Source organism: Homo sapiens, chromosome X (assembly GCF_000001405.40).
Source record: "Homo sapiens chromosome X, GRCh38.p14 Primary Assembly".
In the NCBI taxonomy this organism is placed as follows: Eukaryota; Metazoa; Chordata; class Mammalia; order Primates; family Hominidae; genus Homo; species Homo sapiens.
In genome coordinates, this window is record NC_000023.11 from 142873453 (window position 1) to 142892389 (window position 18937).

The following is an 18937-nucleotide window of genomic DNA, read 5'->3' on the forward strand; positions in this document are numbered from 1 at the left end:
ACGGTATAGCCCATTGTAGACCTAGGCTATAAGGGACAGCCTATTGCTTCTAGGCTACAAACCTATACTGCATGTTACTGTACTGAATACTACAGACAATTGCAACACAATGGTAAGTATTTGTGTATCTAAATATATTGAAAACTAGAAAATGTACAGTGCAAATATGTTGTAAAAGATACAAAAATATGGCTTAGCTGTATAGGAGGCTTACTGTGACTTGAACTTGAAGGGCTGGAAGTTGCTCTGAGTCAGTGAGTGAGTGGTAAGTGAATGTGAAAGCTTAGGACATTACTGTATACTACCATATGCTTAATAAACACTGTACACTTACTTAGGGTACTCTAAATTTATTGAATAAATTCTTCTGTACTAATACCCTTAGCTTACTGTGCATTTTTAGTTCATAAATTTTAATTTTTTAAACATTTTGACTTTCATGACACTTAGCTTCAAACACAAACACATTGCACAAGTGTAAAAAAAATTGTTTTTCTTTTTTCTTCATGTAAGACGGGTTATGTGCCAACATCTTAACAAGGTGGGAGGGTGGCGTATCTCACGCATGTGTGTGAACACCCAATCATCATGCTTATGAACTACGAAATTACTATTTCTTTATATCCTTATTCTATAGGCTTTTTATTATCTTACTTTTGAAACATTTTTGTTAAAAGCTAAATTGCAAACAAACGAATTAGCCTAAGCCTACACAGTGTCATAATTATCAGCATCGCTGTCTTCCACCTCCACAGCTTGTCCCAATGGAAGGTCTTCAGGGCCTCTCACGTGCATGGAGCTGTCATCTCCTGTGATAACAATGCCTTCTTCTGGAATACCCCCTGAAGGAACTGCCTGAGGCTGTTTTGTAAGTAGGAAGGGTACACTCTAAAATACTGATAAAAAAGTATAGTATAGTGAATACATAAACCAGTAACATAGTCATTTATTGTCATTTTCAAGTATTATGTACGGTACATAATTGTACGTGCTGTAGTTTTATAAGACTGGCAGTGCAGTAGGTTTGTTTACACCAACATCACCACAAACACATGAGTAACTTGTTGTGCTAGGATCTTATGGCAGCTACAGCTTCACTAGGCAATAGGAATTTTTCAGCTCCATTATAATCTTAAGGAACTGCCATCATAGATGTGGTCTGTCATTTACTTCAATGTTGTTACATGGTGCCTGACTATAGCTGTCCTGTAAGTTACTAACCTGGCAGTGAGTTTTATTAATTATCACTGTCTTGTAAGTTTGAGGAAGATTTTTCAGTCCCATATAAGTTGACAATTCTATGTAAACTAGTACCACTGATATCCTGGAGTGTGATCATTTCTCCGATTTACTGCTCTCCTTTTTGAGACCCTGTCTGAAACCAACATCTGACATTTTTCTTTGACATTTCTTCTTAATGGAAATGGAAACTGAATAATCAACATATGACAATGTTTGAGAGCTTTTGCTTTGTCTGTGAGGTGCAGTCTATGTCCAAATAATTGATATCTACCTCTTAGGAAAGAGAATATATGAATAGCTCCTCTCAGAGTTCATGGTGATGTACCAATCACTGTGTATCTTCCTTAGAAATTTGCAACCCAAATGCCCATCAATGATAGACTGGATTAAGAAAATGTGGCACATATACACCATGGAATACTATGCAGCCATAAAAAAGGATGAGTTCATGTCCTTTGTAGGGACATGGATGAAGCTGGAAACCATCATTCTCAGCAAACTATCGCAAGGACAAAAAAACAAACACCTCATGTTCCCACTCATAGGTGAGAATTGAACAGTGAGAACACTTGGACACAGGAAGGGGAACATCACACACCGGGGCCTGTTGTGGGGTGGGGGGAGGGGGGAGGGATAGCATTAGGAGATATACGTAATGTAAATGACGAGTTAATGGGTGCAGCACACCAACATGGCACATGTATACATATGTAACAAACCTGCACGTTGTGCACATGTACCCTAGAACTTAAAGTATAATAATAATTTAGAAAGACCTTAAAAAAAAGAAAGAAATTTGGGTAGTGCTGGAAAGTTTGTTTTTGCTCTGGAGACATCTCAGAAAAATAAGAGGAACAGCAAATCTAAACATGACAAACCATTCTTTTGGTTCCTATCATATGATAAGCACTATCACTAACAACAACACATACTACTACTACTACTACTAATGAAACAATATATAAATATAATCATAACAAATAAATTATACCTCATTTTATTTAAATTTTCTCATAAAGCTGGAATGTATCAATCTCATGAAGTTACCACCTATGCTTTAAAGATTCCTCAAATCTATAAATAAATTTATCCCCAAACCAAGATTTATCAGCATCCTCCAGAAATTTTCAATCCTTACATATATTCAGTATTCATAAGTAGGTTCCAGCTTATTACAGAAAGTAATTTCCATAACCAGGTCTCATGTACAAAATAGATGCAAATGCCCTTCTAGAGGGTCTGTCTCAGCACTCAAAAAGTTGGATTTTCTTACCTTACAGTTTGCCATCTTGTGCTTTATAGATGTACCAAGCCGATATTAAATTTATTTTATATATATATATATATATATATATATTTATATATTTGATACCTATTATGATTTGAGGGGCCTAGGACATACCTCTTTACAAGAGAGATATGGTACCTTCCTCCATGGAATTTATAATCTAGTGAAAGAAAGAGATAACATACAGTTGAATAAATAAGATGATTATTTAGAGTGATATAACTTATGGAAATTATAAAACAGGTTTCAGCATGCAATGAAGTGTTACAAATACAAATGTTACACTCACAGACCAACTCCTTCATAAAGTACTTTCTTTCCTTGTAACTCATGACAAGTGTCACAAATTCATTTACTTAAACTATTTATTGAATATCTACTCGATTGCATTTTTCTAGGCAATGTGGATAAACAAAACCAGCAATGATTCCCGACATTATAAAAATTATTCTAGTGGAAGCAGCATTCCTTGTCATAGGTGTCACTAATACTTATGGTCAGAATGTCCAAATTGTTTCCCAAATTATGTATTGTCTATGTCATATCAATCAACTGGTACGAAGAAATTTGGAGCTGAGACCGCTCAGAGCAGTAAATGTGCTGAGAAAGACCCTAAATTAATTTTAATATAAAAATCATTAGAATGCTGAAGTTGCATATTTATACTTTTTAAGCTGTATATTTTTGTGCTTACTGTGGCTTTGTACTATGTATAATGTAAAAGAAGGAACGCAGAAACTTTTTTCTTCCAAATTATAGTGAGTATAATGCACATCATTTAGAGACTATTTTAATTAGAGAGTTACATAAGAGGTTAATAAAGCCATCCCAGTCACATTTTTGAATATTAATTTTTTAAATTGTAAAGATCTGCACAGAAAAAAACAGTCATAAACATCAAATTAGAGCCGTGTTCTAACAGTCAAATAAACCATTTATTGAATTTAATGAAGATCCTTTAAAGCAGTATCACAGAAGCTTCTATACTGAGAAATATGATGTTGCTCTTTTTTAAAAAGGAAGTTAACCATCCTTTTTTTCTAGAAGCAGTGGCAACTCAGAACATTACACCATTTCCTTGGCACCTTGCTGAGCCTCTACTATATGCAGAACACTGTATTACTGAGGAAAACAAATAGAACATGGAGTCTATGCCATAATTTCTTTTTTTTTAAATCAACTTTAATTTTACATTAAGGAGTAAATGTGCAGATTTTTACCTGGTGCATGACACTGAGGTTTGGGGTAAAAATGATCCTATCATCCATATAGTAAGCATAGTACCCAATAGATGGTTTTTCAGCTCATGTGCCTCTCCCTCCCTTTCTCTTCTGTTAATAAATAATTGCTACTACTAATGATAGTACAATACTATACTATACTGTATTAATAGTAACATTAATAATAATTTTATTAATGATTGTTTTCGTCTTTATGTCTATGTGTATCCGATGTTGAGCTACCACTTATAGGTGAGAACATGTGGTATTTGGTTTTCTCTTTGTTCATTAATTCACTTAGGATAATGGCCTCCAGCTCCATCTATGTTACTGCAAAGGACATAGTTTTGTTCTTTTGTATTCTGCCCTAATTTCCGAATGACCAACAAGAGCACAGAAGTCTTGGTTAATGTGACAGTTGACTAGTTATCCACAAGGATATCCAGAAGAAATATATTAATTTTGAAAGTTAGCAAGAGTAAGAGAATAATTCTTTGTAATCATATCTCTAGTAAGTATCAGTAATTACAAGTTTTCACAATCTTAGCATTTTCTACAGTAAATTAATTCTCTAGAACTTCTCACAGAATTCAAATTTTCCACATTGTACACAAAATTAATTTTTATCTGAAATTGCTTCCTTTTTTAAAGCTTGCTTTCAACCATACTAATATGTTTTTCTTACTTTTATAGTTTTTTAATGAAAATATTTTTAAATATTGTGTACACCATGATGTTTTGAAACATTATACTTTGTGGAATGGCTCAACTGACTGCATTAATATATGCATTATCTCATATATTTTTCATTTTTATGCGGTGAGCAAACATCAAATCTATTCTCTTCATAATTTTAAAGAATACAATACATTGTTATTAACTACAGTCGCAGTGTTGTACAAGAGATGACACTATGTTTTATTAATGTGACATAAAATTACTTGTTTAATGACATTTAAATCTTTAGCTAATTATTTTACTGGCATTATGCACACATAGTAAAGTCAATGCTTATTTCCTAAGGTTTGTCTCATGTTGCTTTCTTTATATGTGGAAGCCCAAGGAGCTTGCCACCTAATAATATACCAAAAGGCCTATATTATACATATAATTTACATTTATTTGTGTATTTTCCAAGAACCACATGCCTAAACTTTATTGTTTAGTAAGATACAGGGACTTGATGAGTCTACCACTAGTAAGACTGTTCTTGGAGACAGACATCTAAGCTGTTGCTAATGTTTTGACTGACTCTTCAGCCACAACTATCTTGGTCTTGACTGCGCAGAATTTTGATTCGTGATATCCTACAGTTACTAAAACCTTGGCATGAGTTGTTTTATTAATTATGGTATCAAGAACTCTAAAGTGTCTGAGATTTTATTATGCTGGCAAGCTAAACACTTAGCATGCCACAATTTCATGAATGATGGCAGAAGACATACAACTTGTGGACGAGAGCCAAAAGAATTTGTTACATACAGCAGAGGAGTACGCATGAGCTTCATATTTACATTAGTTCTTCTTGCCCCCAAGTTCAATGGGGGGGGTAATACAGAGTGGGCCAAGTGAATAGTGTACAAACAGGTCTGGTTACAACTAAAAAAAATTGTGCTTAGAAAACCCCCCCAATGTTATAAGGGGGCTCATATGGTTTGGCTGTGTCTCCACACAAATCTCATCTTAAATTGTAGGGCCCATAATGTCCATGTATTGTGGGAGGGACCCAGTGGGAGATAATTGAATTATGGGGCCGGTTTTCCCCATATTGTTCTCGTGGTAGTAAATAAGTCTCATGAGAGCTGATTGTTTTATAAGGGGAAACCCTTTTTTGGTTGGCTCTCATTTTCTCTCTCGTCTGCTGCCATGTAAGATGTGCTTCTTGCTTTTTACCATGATTGTGAAGCCTCCTCTGTCACGTGGAACTGTGAGTCCATTGAACCTCTTTTCCTTTAAAAATCACCCAGTCATGAGTATATCTTTATCACCATCGTGAAAATGGACTAGTAGTGGGGCTGTTGACAACTCTGCCTAACATTTGTTTCAGAGAAAGACATTATTTTTAGATTCTGGCAAAGAAACAAATCTGTTCTGTGCTCTGAAGGGAGACATTATCTCTATATTCCAAGGCAGCTTGCTATACAAACATCCTTCAAAAGACTGTCTTGAAAAAGGCTGTCATCCCCACTAAACAAGACTTGCAACCATGTGAGAGACCCAAGGAAACATGTCTCCCAATATTTTCTTGTAGATTTTGCTAATTTATCTACTCTTAGTTTATTTGAGGTCAACAAGTAGCCTTGGGAACTGCTCGATAACAAATTACTAGACATCTGAGCTTCTCAGGGGCATCCTTATCTTGAGGTAAATGACCACAGGACCCGCATTTACTTTCTACGGGTTGAGTATTCCTTACTAAAATGATTGGGACCAGAAGTGTTTCAGAGTGGATTTTTTGGATTTTGAAAGATTTGCATTACACTTAACCGGTTGAGCATCCCAAATCTGAAAATCCAAAATCTGGTATTTTCCAATGGGCATTTCCTTTGAGACTTATGTTGGCACTGAAAAAGTTTATATTTTGGAACATTTTGATGATTTCAGATTTTTGAATTTGGGATGCCCAACCTGTATTCTATGTTTTAATGGGGCTTCCACGTGTATTTTATTAGGGCCCAGGGTTCAGTGGGTCCCTGAACTCATCTTGTGGCTAGTTCTAGAATGCACAATTAGGATAGACATTCCTAACAGCTGGTGAAATCTCCACATTGGTTTTCTGACCTGGGGTATGAGGGCTATTAATTATATTGGAAAAGGCCAACTGGAAGGCACTAGAACTGTCTCAATCTAGGAAAATGGTAAATACTGAATATAAAGCAATTCTGCATTCCCAGAAGGAATACAGAGATTAGTGCCACCATCAAGGACTTTAAAGATGCAGAGACGGTGGTTCTCATCACAACCCCATTCAAGTCTCCCATTTGGCCTGTGTAGAAGACAGATGTCTCTTGGATAATGATAGTGAATTATCATAAGCTTAATTATGTGGCGACTCCAATTGCAGCTGCTCTACCAGATGTGGTTTCATTGCTTGAGCAAATTAATAAATCCCTCTGGTATCTGGTATGCAGCCACTGATCTAGCAAATGCCTTTTTCTCCATACCTATTCATATAACCCACCAGAGCAGCTTTCTTTCAAGTGGCAAGACCAGCAATACACCTTCACCATCCTACTTCAGGGTTACATCAACTCTGCAGCCCTATGTCATAATTTAGTTTAAAGAGAACTTGTTCACCTTTCCTTTCCATAAGGTATCATGCTGGCCCATTACGTTGATGACATTATGCTGATTGAACCTCGTGAGCAAGAAATAACAACTACTCTAGACTTATTGGTAAGACATTTGCATGTCAGGCAAGGGAAATTATTCCTCCTGAAATTCAGGGGCCTTCTATCTTAGTGAAACTTCTAGAAGTCCAGTGGTATGGGGGCATGCCAAGATATCCATTCTAAGGTGAAGGATAAATTTTTGTATCTGGTGCTTCTTACAATCCAAAATGAGGCACAACACCTAGTGGACCTCTTGATTTTGGAATCAACATATTCCGTTCCTTATTTGGGTGTGTTACTCTGGCCCATTTACCCAGTGACCTTTAAAGCAAATAGTTTTGAGTGGGGCACAGAACAGAAGCCTCTGCCACAGGTCTGGGCTGCTATGCAAGCTGCTATGCCACCTGAGCCACATGATCCAGCAGATCTAATGGTGCTTGAAGTGGCAGTGGCAGTAGAGATGCTGTTTGAAGTTTTGGGGGAAGACCCCTATAGGTAAATCACAGCATGAGCCTTTTAGATTTTTGAGCATGTCTTTCCATTATCCATAGATAAGTACTCTTCTTTTGAAAAACAGCTCTTGGCCTGCCACTGGGCCTTAGTGGAGACTGAATATTTAACCATGGCAACAAAATGGTCATGTATTCTGAGCTGGCCATCATGAATTTAGTGTTATTGGACCCAATAAGTCAAAATGTTGGGAGTGCAGAGCAACTCTTCACCATCAAATGGAAATGATATTTATGTGAATGAGCCTAAGCAGGCCCTGAGGCACAAGCAAGTTATGTGAGGAAATGACTCAAATCCTATGGTCTCTATCCAAACTGCCTGTATCCAAACTGCCTTCTCTCTCCCCCAGCTTGCACCTATGACCTCATGGCGAGTTTTCTAGCATCAGTTGACAGAGGAAGAAAAGACTTGGGCCTGGTTTACCAATGGTTTTGCACAATATGCAGGCACCACCTCAAAGGGGAAAGCTGCAGCATTATAACCCCTGTTGGGGACATCCTTGAAGGAAAATCCTCCCAATGGACAGAACAGCAAGAAGGGCAGCTGGTTATTTACTTTGCTTGGTAGCAGAAATAGCTAGACGTGTGAATATATGCCCTTCCATGGGCTGTAGCCAATGGTGTGATTAGATTATCAGGGTTTAGAAAAAAAAAAAAACATTGGTGGAAAATTGATGACAAAGAGAGATATGTGGATAGATCTTCCTGAATGGGAATACAACATGAAACTATTTGTGTTCACTAAGTGCTCACCAAAGGGTGAGCTCAGCCTCAAAGGTGAGGACTTTACTAATCAAGTGGATAGGATGACCCATTTGCTGAGTATCAATCAGTCTTTCCCAGGCCACCCGGTCATCACCCAATGGACTCATGAACACATTGCCATGGTGGCAGAAAGGGAGGTTATTCATGGACTCAGAAACAAGGACTTTCATTTTCCTAAGCCAATATAGCTATGGCCACTGCTGAGTGTCCAGTCTGCCAACAAAAGGGACCTGCACTGAGTCCCTGATATGGAACTATTGCCCCAGTTGATCAGACAGTTACCTGGAAGAAGGCTGATTACATTGCCCACTTCCATAGGAAACAAACAGGGCAAGCGCTTATTTTCTTACTGGACTAGAAGCTTACTGTGGATATGGATGTGCCTTCCCTGCACACAATGCTTCTGCCAAAACTACCATTCATGGACTTATATATTGCTTCATCTGCCATCATACTATTCTACACAGCATTGCGTCTGATCAAGGAACTCACTTCACAATAAATGAAGTGAGGCAATGGGAACAATGTTTATGAAATTCACTGTTCCTTCCACATTTTTCAGCATCCTGAAGCATCTAGCCTTGTAGAATGGTGGCATGGCCCTTTGAAAACTTTGTTAGAGCACCATCTATGTAGCAATTCCTTGCAAATCTAGAACAAGGTTTTCCAGAAGGCTGTATGTGTTCTGAATCAGTGTCCAATATATGGTACAGTTCCTCCCATAGGCAGAATTCATGGTCCTAGTAATCCAGGAGTGAAAGTAGGAGTCGAACCACTCCGCGTCATCTCAAGCAACATACTGGCAAATGTTTTGCTTCCTATTACTGCGAATTTATGCTGTATTGGCCTAGAGATCTTAATTCAAAGGGAGGAATGCTTCTGCCGGGAGACACAATAATTACCCCATTAAACTGGAAGTTAAGATTGTTATCTGGCCACATTGAGTTCCACATACCTCTGAGTAAACACGTCAAGAAGGGAGATAGGATGTTGGCTGCGGTGATTGATCTGAACTAACAAGGGTAAATTGGACTGTTGTTATTCGACAATGGAGGTAATGAGGAGAATGTATGGACTACAAGAGATCTCTTAGTGCTTCTCTTAGTATTATCATGTTATTTAATTAAGATCAATAGAAAATTATAACAACCCAATTCAGCTAGGACTATGAATGGCCTAGAATTTTCAAGATTGAAGCTTTGGGTCATACAACCAGATAAAGAACCACAACCAGCTGATATTCTTTCTGAAGGTAAAGAAAATACAGAATGAGTAGTAGAAACTAGTTATAAATCCCATTCACAATTGCCACAAAATAAAATACCTAGGAATACAGTTAACCAGGGAGGTGAAAGATCTCTATAATGAAAATTACAAAACACTACTCAAAGAAATCAGAGATAACACAGACAAATAGAAAAACATTCCATGCTCATGGATAGGAATAATCAATATTGTTAAAATGGCCATACTGCTCAAAGCAACTTACAGATTCAATGCTATTTCTATCAAACTACCAAATAATAAATTCTTCTTCACAGAACTAGAAAAAAAAAGTATTTAAAAATTTATATAGAACTGAAAAGGAGCCCAAATACCCAAAGCAATCTTAAGCAAGAAGAATAAAGCAGGAGGCATCACACTATCGGACTTCAAACTGTACTACAGGGTTACAGTAACCAAAACAGCATAGTACTGATAAAAAACACACATAGACCAATGGAACAGAATAGTGAGCCTGAAAATAAGGCCACACATCTACACCATCTGATCTTTGACAAAACTGACAAAAACAAGCAACAAATAATAAAGGAATCCCTATTCAATAAATGGTTCTGGGATAACTGGCTAGCTATATGCAGAATAGTGAAACTGGATCCCTTTCTTACACCATATACAAAAATCAACCCAAGATGGGTTAAAGGCATAAATGTAAAACTCAAAACTATAAAAATCCTGGAAGATAACCTAGGTAATACCATTCTGGACATAAGCACAAGCAAAAATTTCATTACCAAGACACTAAAAGCAACTGCAAGATAAGCAAAAATTGACAAATGGGATCCAATTAAAATAAAGAGCTTCTGAACAGCAAAAGAAATTATCAAAAGAGTGAACAGACAACCTGCAGAATGGGAGAAAATTTTTGCAATCTAGCTATCTGACAAAGGTGTAATACCCAGACTCTACAAAAAAATTAAATTTACAAGAAAAAAAACAACACCATTAAAAAGTGGGAAAAGGATATGAACAGACACTTCTCAAAAGAAGACATTTATGCGGCCAACAAACATATTTTTAAAAAGCTCATCATCACTGGTCATTAGCAAAATGCAAATCAAAACCACAATGAGATACCAACACATGCCAGTTAGAATGGTGATCATTAAAAAGTAAGGAAACAACAGATGCTGGAGAGGCTGTGGAGTAATAGGAACACTTTTACACTGTTGGTGGGAGTGTAAATTAGTTCAACCATTGTGCAAGACAGACAGTGTGGTGACTCCTCAAGGATCTAGAACCAGAAATACCATTTGACCCAGCAATCCCATTATTAAGTATATACCCAAAAGATTATAAATCATTTTACTATAATGACACATGCACACATATCTTTATTGCAGCACTGTTCACAATAGCAAAGATCTGGAACGAACCCAAATGCCCATCAATGATAGACTGGATAAAGAAAATGTGGCAAATATACACCATGGAATACTATGCAGCCATAAAAAAGAATGAGTTAATGTCCTTTGCAGGGACATGGGTGAAGCTGGAAACCATCATTCTCAGCAAACTAACACAGGAACAGAAAATCAAACGCTGCCCATGTTCTCACTCATAAGTGGGAGTTGAACAATGAGAACATATGGGCACAGGGAGGGGAACATCACACACCAGGGCCTGTCGGGGGTGGGGGGCAAGGGGAGGGATAGCATTAGGAGAAATACCTAATGTAGATGATGGGTTGATGGGTGCAGCAAACCACCATGGCACATGTGTACCTATGTAACAAACCTGCATATTCTGCACATGTATCCCAGAACTTAAAGTATAATTAAAAAAAAAAAAAAGAAAGAAGAAGAATAGGTGTATGGCTGCCAAGTTGACAATGGGTGGATGTGTGATGGTTAATTTTATTTGTCAGTTTGACTAGTCACAGTGTGTTTAGATTAATCATTATTTCTGGGTGTGTCTGTGAGGATGGTTTCAGGATGAGATTAGTATTTGAATCAGTGGACGCAGTAAGGTTTATTGCCCTCTGCAATATGGGCAATAAACGTTGAGGCCTGGAATAGAACAGTAAGCCAGAGAAAGGAGCAACTAACTTTGAGTGCTTTTTGCCTGCCTGCTTCGGCTGATATAGCTCATCTCATTTTCTCTGACCCTTGGTCTGGAAATTACACCATCAATTCCCTGCATTCTCAGGCTTTGGGGCTTAGATTGAAACTTTGCCACAGGCTTTTCTGGTTCTCTAGTTTATAAATGGCAGGTCTTAGGATTTCTTACCCTGCATAATTAAGTGGGTCAATTGATCAGTATGGATAGACAGCTAGCTAGCTAGATATAGATAGATAAAAATATATATTTATCTATCTGTATATGTATATATGCATATATATTTCTCTACATATGTATATATGCATATATATTTCTCTATCTATGTATATATAGATATGCATATGTATAGATAGAAATATATATTTCTATATCTATATATACATATATAGATATAGATCTAGATAGTTTCCAACTTCATCCGTGTCCACGCAAAGGGCATGAACTCTTTCTTTTTTATGGATGCATAGTATTCCATGGTGTATATGTGCCATATATATATAGATCTATATATTTCTCTAACCATATATACATATAGATAGATAGAGATTATATATATGTATATATAGATAGAGATTATATATATCTATATAGATAGATATATATAATTCAGATTCTGTTTTTCTTTCAGGTTCTGTTTTTCCGGAGAACCTTGACTAATATGATAAGGACTGAAATGCAGCAGATTCAGGAAAGATGCAAAAGTAGGAACTAGAAATAGATATAGTTGTGTATAATTTCCTCAGTAAGATAATATAGACTTAGAATAGTTGAAGTTAATTTCTAGACGTTCTTTGATTTTCAATTCATTTGCTAATTAATAGAAGAGTAGCAATACCATTTGAAGAATGTAATATCATGTACCTACAATAATTTACACTCTTACCATGTTTATTGCTGAAGCATCCCATTTAAGGAGAGAAAAGCTAAACATATATACATTGAAAAGCTTTTTCCAGTAATATCATCCAAAATTTTAACCGTTTACCAGGTTTTTTTTTTCTAAGAATTTTAAAAGGAAAGATCAGCTAAATCACCACATTTTCTCACAATCAATCTTTTCTTGACTGAGTCCTTTGATATTTGTATCAATTGATAAAATTGACTCTTGGAACTTTGGTCATTAAAATTTGAATAAAGTTGGCAATGGGTAAATAAGTACTAATTCTTCTGTAACTCAAGAGCCTAATCAGCATGAGGTCTGAGTAATCCAGTTTTTATATTAATAGCCGTTACCCAAAAGTTGCGACGTGAGAAAATCTTTCCAAAGCCAGTGTTCAAACTCACTCACATTCCCTTGAACTATCAGAAGATTCAAATAACTCATAGTCAAAGAAAACATAAAATGTTAGTAAATTAGATTGGGGACACTGGATCTTTTAGAAAGAACACAGCATGGGTGTAAATTACTTGTGCCAAATAGTGCATCTAATAGGTACTCAGGTACCTAAATGAAGTCAGTGTTGCTCTTGAAATGTACAGTGTTTTGTGACCCAAGTCAATGGTTATCAAACATGAACAGTCATTTAGTCCGTATCTTTGTGGCTAGCTCTTTAGAAGCATGCAGAAAGTGGGGACTGTTTGCTTTTTCTTTAGCATTCAATAGGTCCTTTTAGTAAGCTTGAAAGTGCTCTAAAAAGAAACTTTATTGTAACATCATAGGCGTCTCACACCAGTCAGAATGAGTATTATTAAAAAGTCAAAAAATAACAGATGCTGGCAAAACTGAAGAGAAAGAGAAATGCTTATACACTGTTGGTGATAATGAAAATTAGTTCAGCCCCTGTGGAAATCAGTTTGGAGATTTTTCAACTAAAAATTGAATTGCTATTCGACTCAGCAATCCATTTACTGAGTATGTACCCAAAGGAAAAAAAAAATCATTTTACCAAAAAGACATATGCACTTGTATGCTTATTACAGCACTATTTACACTAGCAAAGACACGGAATCCACTTAGATGCCAATTAATGGTGGACTGGATAAAGAAAACATGGCACATATACACCATGGAATACTATGAAGCCATTAAGAAATGAAATCATTTTCGTTATCACAACATGGATGTAGCTGAAGACAGACTATCATTCTAAGCAAATTAATGCAGAAACAGAAAATTAAATACCATGTGTTCTCACTTAGAAGAGGGAGTTAAATATCAGGCATACACTGACATAAAGATAGAAACGATAGACATCAGGAACTCTAAAAGCAGAAAAGGATGGAAGGGAGTAAGGGCCAAAAGCTTCCTATTGGGTACTATGTTCACTATCTGGGTGTTGGGATCAACAGAGGCCGAAACTTTGGTATCGTGCAATATACTCTTGTAACAAACCTCCATATGTATCCCCTGAATCTAAGATAAAAATTAAAATTAAAAACAAACAAAAAAAAGAAGTGTGATTACAGCATTCATCCCTACTCACCAAACCACTGTCAACATCATAGGCTTCATTTTTGATAGCCACCTGACTCAGTTCACCATGTTTATTTACCACTTCATAGGTGCAAGCAGTTTTCAACAACTCATATAAGACACAAGGCCTAAGGAAGCTGAAAAACTATTATTATTAATGCATTTTCTCTAAGGTTATTTTCTCGATTGTGCAATGGGGTTAATGACTACCACTTCAGTGAGTAGCTAAGAGCAGTAACAATGCTGTACTTATTCCATTAGATTGCTAGGAGGAATAAATGAGCAAATACTCATAAAGCTTTTGGAACATTGTCTGGTACATTGCCATGCTAAATATGTGCTAGGTATTATATTAGTATCCCATTTTACAGAAAGGAATCTGAGAATCTTAAGACTTAAGAAACTAGCTCAGAATCACACAGCTTTTTAAATAGTAGGTTTAGGAAACCAATCCAGATATGCCTAACTACAAAACCTGTGTCATCTTCATTACCACAGACGTTGACAACCTTATCCAAGAAACAATTGCTTTTCTTCTTCAATATCTTTCTAGGAAAGATCGGTTGAATGAACATTGACCTGTATTTTTACATCCACAAATCTATAGTAAGGAAAATTGTACATTCTCTGTATTATATATTTTTCACCACAACCCAATGTTTTAGGAACTCTTATGGCCCTTTTTACAGATGAGAAAACTGAGGCACATAAAAATTAGATATCTTGCACAAGATCTCACAGCTGTTGTGACAAAGCTGGAATTCTACCTGAGTTTTATCTGACTCCAGGAACCACGTTTTTTATCACTTTTAACCAAAGTCTCCATCACCTTTGAATTTATTGTCTTTATATCTACTGTTTTTGGAGGTATTTGTATTCCTGAGCATCTCTCTCAAGAAACCATGAGGGACTGGTGCATGCTCCCAGTGAAAATACAGCCCACCCTTCCACAGCAGTTTAGAACTTCAATTTCCCTCGCCACACACACACACACACACACACACACACACACACACACACACACACACTATTTCCATCTCATAGATGTCTATTGTATTTATTTATTTGCTTGTTTTTGTTTTTAATCTGAATCCAACTCAGGATTAGACTTAATTATAAAAAGTTGAACAAAAGATGTCCCCTGCTTTTGGATTGGTCGTGGTCCTGTGGGATTCAAAAGCAAAACAGAAATTACTATTCTAAGAGATTTTTTCTTTCATTCTCTCTCTCCCTTTCTACACTCCCTCTCTTTCTCATATATATATAAGTGTATACACATATCCACATATAAACATATATATATATACACATGTAGGAATATAGGGGCACACATATAAGTACATAAATATACACACAAAAATATTTGAGTTACAAAGATCCTTGAGAGAATACTTTTTATTATGAGTGAATCCACTCGTATCTATATACTCTGCTAGCCTTGTTGAAATACTCATAGGTGACATTTATATTTATATAACATATATATATATTATGTGTGTGAGCATGTATATATATACACATATATACACATATACACACACATACACACACACACATATACACACATATATACACATATACACATATATATACACACATATATACATATACACACACATATATACATATATACACACACATATACACATATATACACACATATATACATATATACATATATACACATATACACACATATATATACACATATACACACACATATATACACACATACACACACATATATACACATATACACACATATATACACACACATATATACACATACATACACACATATATACATATATACACACACATATACATACATACACACACATATATATACATATATACACACACATATACATACATGTATACACATATATACACATATACACACATATACACACATATATACATATATACACACATATACATATATACACGTATATACACACACGTGTATATATACGCGTGTATATACACACACGTGTATATATACGCGTGTGTATACACGTATATATGTACACGTGTATATATATACACGTATATATATACACGTGTATATATATACGTGTGTATATATACATATATATATATATATATATATATATATATATATAAAACTTCCTTTCTTCATTCATTGCTTATTTCCACAAATATTCACCGGACCTTCATGAAGCACTTACTAGGGCTCCAGAACTTAAGCCATTCATTCTACCTACATGTATTATGCCAGTAAGCATCTAATTCTGACAGTGGAAACCAGCCACCTTATTTCATACTAATGATATTATGTATTTATATGGACAGTGAAAGACTCTTCATGCTGTTCAAGAGATTCTGGAAAAGAGCTGTGTGCCACACTGCATTCATAGATTAAGTATTCACCATCACTACAGTCTTTATTTGAGAAAGCCAAATGCCTTGGAGCCCACAGGTGAAAACTGTGTGTTCCTTGTTATCTGAAAATAGTGTGTCACTGCCAGAGTTAATTACCTAAAGAGCTCCGCACAGAATCCACGTAACTGAGTCATGCTTTTCTTCTAAATTAGAACAATATAATTGTAACACGTAAAAGTAAGTCTTTTTGTATTTACTCTAATGAGCTCACTTCTCAGTTTTGCTAGTGACATGATAAACTAATAGAAGGGTCGATATGATGTCTCTATGGTAATTATCATGCCACTTCTCCTCTCCTCCTACATTCTTCTCATGTTACATTTTAATGTGTTTCTGCTCAAGTCAATTCAATTTATCAGTAGGCAAGAGGCATGAAACAACACTGATTTGCTGTGGATCTACTTACAAGTAAACTGGAAAACTCAATTTTCAAGTTAAGTTTTCAATAAGAAAGATATACATGAGATGAACAATACTGATTTGAAAGATATCATTATTTACAGAGATTTAATCTTATGTAAATATAAAAAAAATATTAAATGGTGCTGTGTATTTTGCACTCGCAAAATATATGTGTTTCCTTCTTGATTCATTACAAGGGAACTTTAAGGTTATAATCTATAATACGATAAGCCATAAGTAATTACAGAATAATAAAATGTGAAGAGACCCAAGAGATACTCCAACGCAGTGAGTTTAATTTTTTTTAATTTTTTTATTTTTTTGAGAAGGAGTCCCACTCTGTTGCCTAGGCTGGAGTGCAGTGGCGTGATCTTGGCTGAGTCACAGTGAGTTTTAAACTGGAGTGTGTATCCCTTTGTGTAGAAGATCATGAAGACGTTTGAAGGAGTACGTGGATGTGGCTAGTTCTCAGAGAATCTATTTTGTTTTCCCACTTCCATGCATCATCTTTCTAAAATTGGTCTGCCTGGAAACATCCGGAGTACAGGCTCCAGGGAGACTCTTCTCTCTCTCTTCCCTTTTATTTTATTTTATTTTATTTTATTTTATTTTATTTTATTTTATTATTATTGTACTTTAAGTTTTAGGGTACGTGTGCACAATGTGCAGGTTAGTTACATATGTATACATGTGCTATGCTGGTGTGCTGCACCCATTAACTCGTCATTTAGCATTGAGATATACCTAGTGCTAAATGGCAATGTTTTCAAGTCGCCCCTAATATCACAATACGGGGTATTGCCCTTAGGAAGAAAAACCTCCAAGGCACTAAACACAGGTTCAACAGGAAACACTATTAGTCACTATTGAGAATGTGAGTGAAACTACCACTAGGTTACGTATTCTTTGCAATTCATGTGGTTTCCAACGCTTTCCTTTCAACCACGTTGAAGAAGGACCTAAGACAAATAAGAGCTGATAAATTTTAATATATAAGTCAGAAGGAGTTTAAATGAGTGAGAAACATTACTAAAATAAAACTCCTTTCTAATCTTATATTTTACACAAATAGGTTTCTAGTCTTAACATATATGCAACACACATACACATAAATTGTTTGATAATAAATTCAACTAGAGCACAAAATAATATTTATCCATGGACATATAAACTCATTGAAAAATTATTCTTATCCAACTCATTTAAGAAATAGATTGTACATAAATATTAATTTTATGTTTTATTTCTTTTATTCAAATGTGTAATGTGTTTTATTTTGATCAATGGTATACTACAAAATAAATGTGATCATAATTCAATCTTGAATGATTTTTTAACCCATAGGAAAGTATGGTAACTGAAAATTATTTATTTTAAAATGAATGTTATATGTATGTCATTAAAATACATATTTAATACGGATATATTTTATACCAAAGAAATATGATCTGATGTTCAATTAAAGGCTTAACTATAAATATTAAATAGTATAAAATTATGTGGGGATGACTATATGGATTACAAGACAAAAAGAAACAATGTTAAATTCCTGACTTTTAATACAGATTGCTCATGTACTTTTTAAAAGATAATGTGTGTATTCAATTGTTTTGTTTTGATATATAGATACTATTGATGCATTTAAAAAGATAAAATATTTTATTTTTAAAATTTGATATATCAATATGCTTTAAAGTATGTCCTTTCTCATCATGTAAACAAACATATACTGAAAAGTGTTTGTTTGTTAGCTTGTAATTTATAAGTGAAGGAGTATTTTTTAATGATCGCCATTCTAACTGGTGTGAGACGGTATCTCATTGTGGTTTTGATTTGCATTTCTCTGATGGCCAGTGATGATGAGCATTTTTTCATGTGTTTTTTGGCTGCATAAATGTCTTCTTTTGAGAAGTGTCTGTTCATATCCTTCACCCACTTTTTGATGGGGTTGTTTCCTTCTTGTAAATTTGTTTGAGTTCATTGTAGATTCTGGGTATTAGCCCTTTGTCAGATGAGTA

At 35.3% G+C, this 18937-nt stretch overlaps 1 non-coding gene across 1 annotated transcript; it reads right to left on the reverse strand.

Annotated features, from left to right (window-relative positions):
* Positions 1 to 507: 507 nt before the first annotated feature.
* LOC124905278 (small nucleolar RNA U13) lies at positions 508 to 611 on the reverse strand. The gene has a single exon (XR_007068441.1). It is a non-coding gene; the product is annotated as a small nucleolar RNA U13 (small nucleolar RNA).
* Positions 612 to 18937: the final 18326 nt, after the last annotated feature.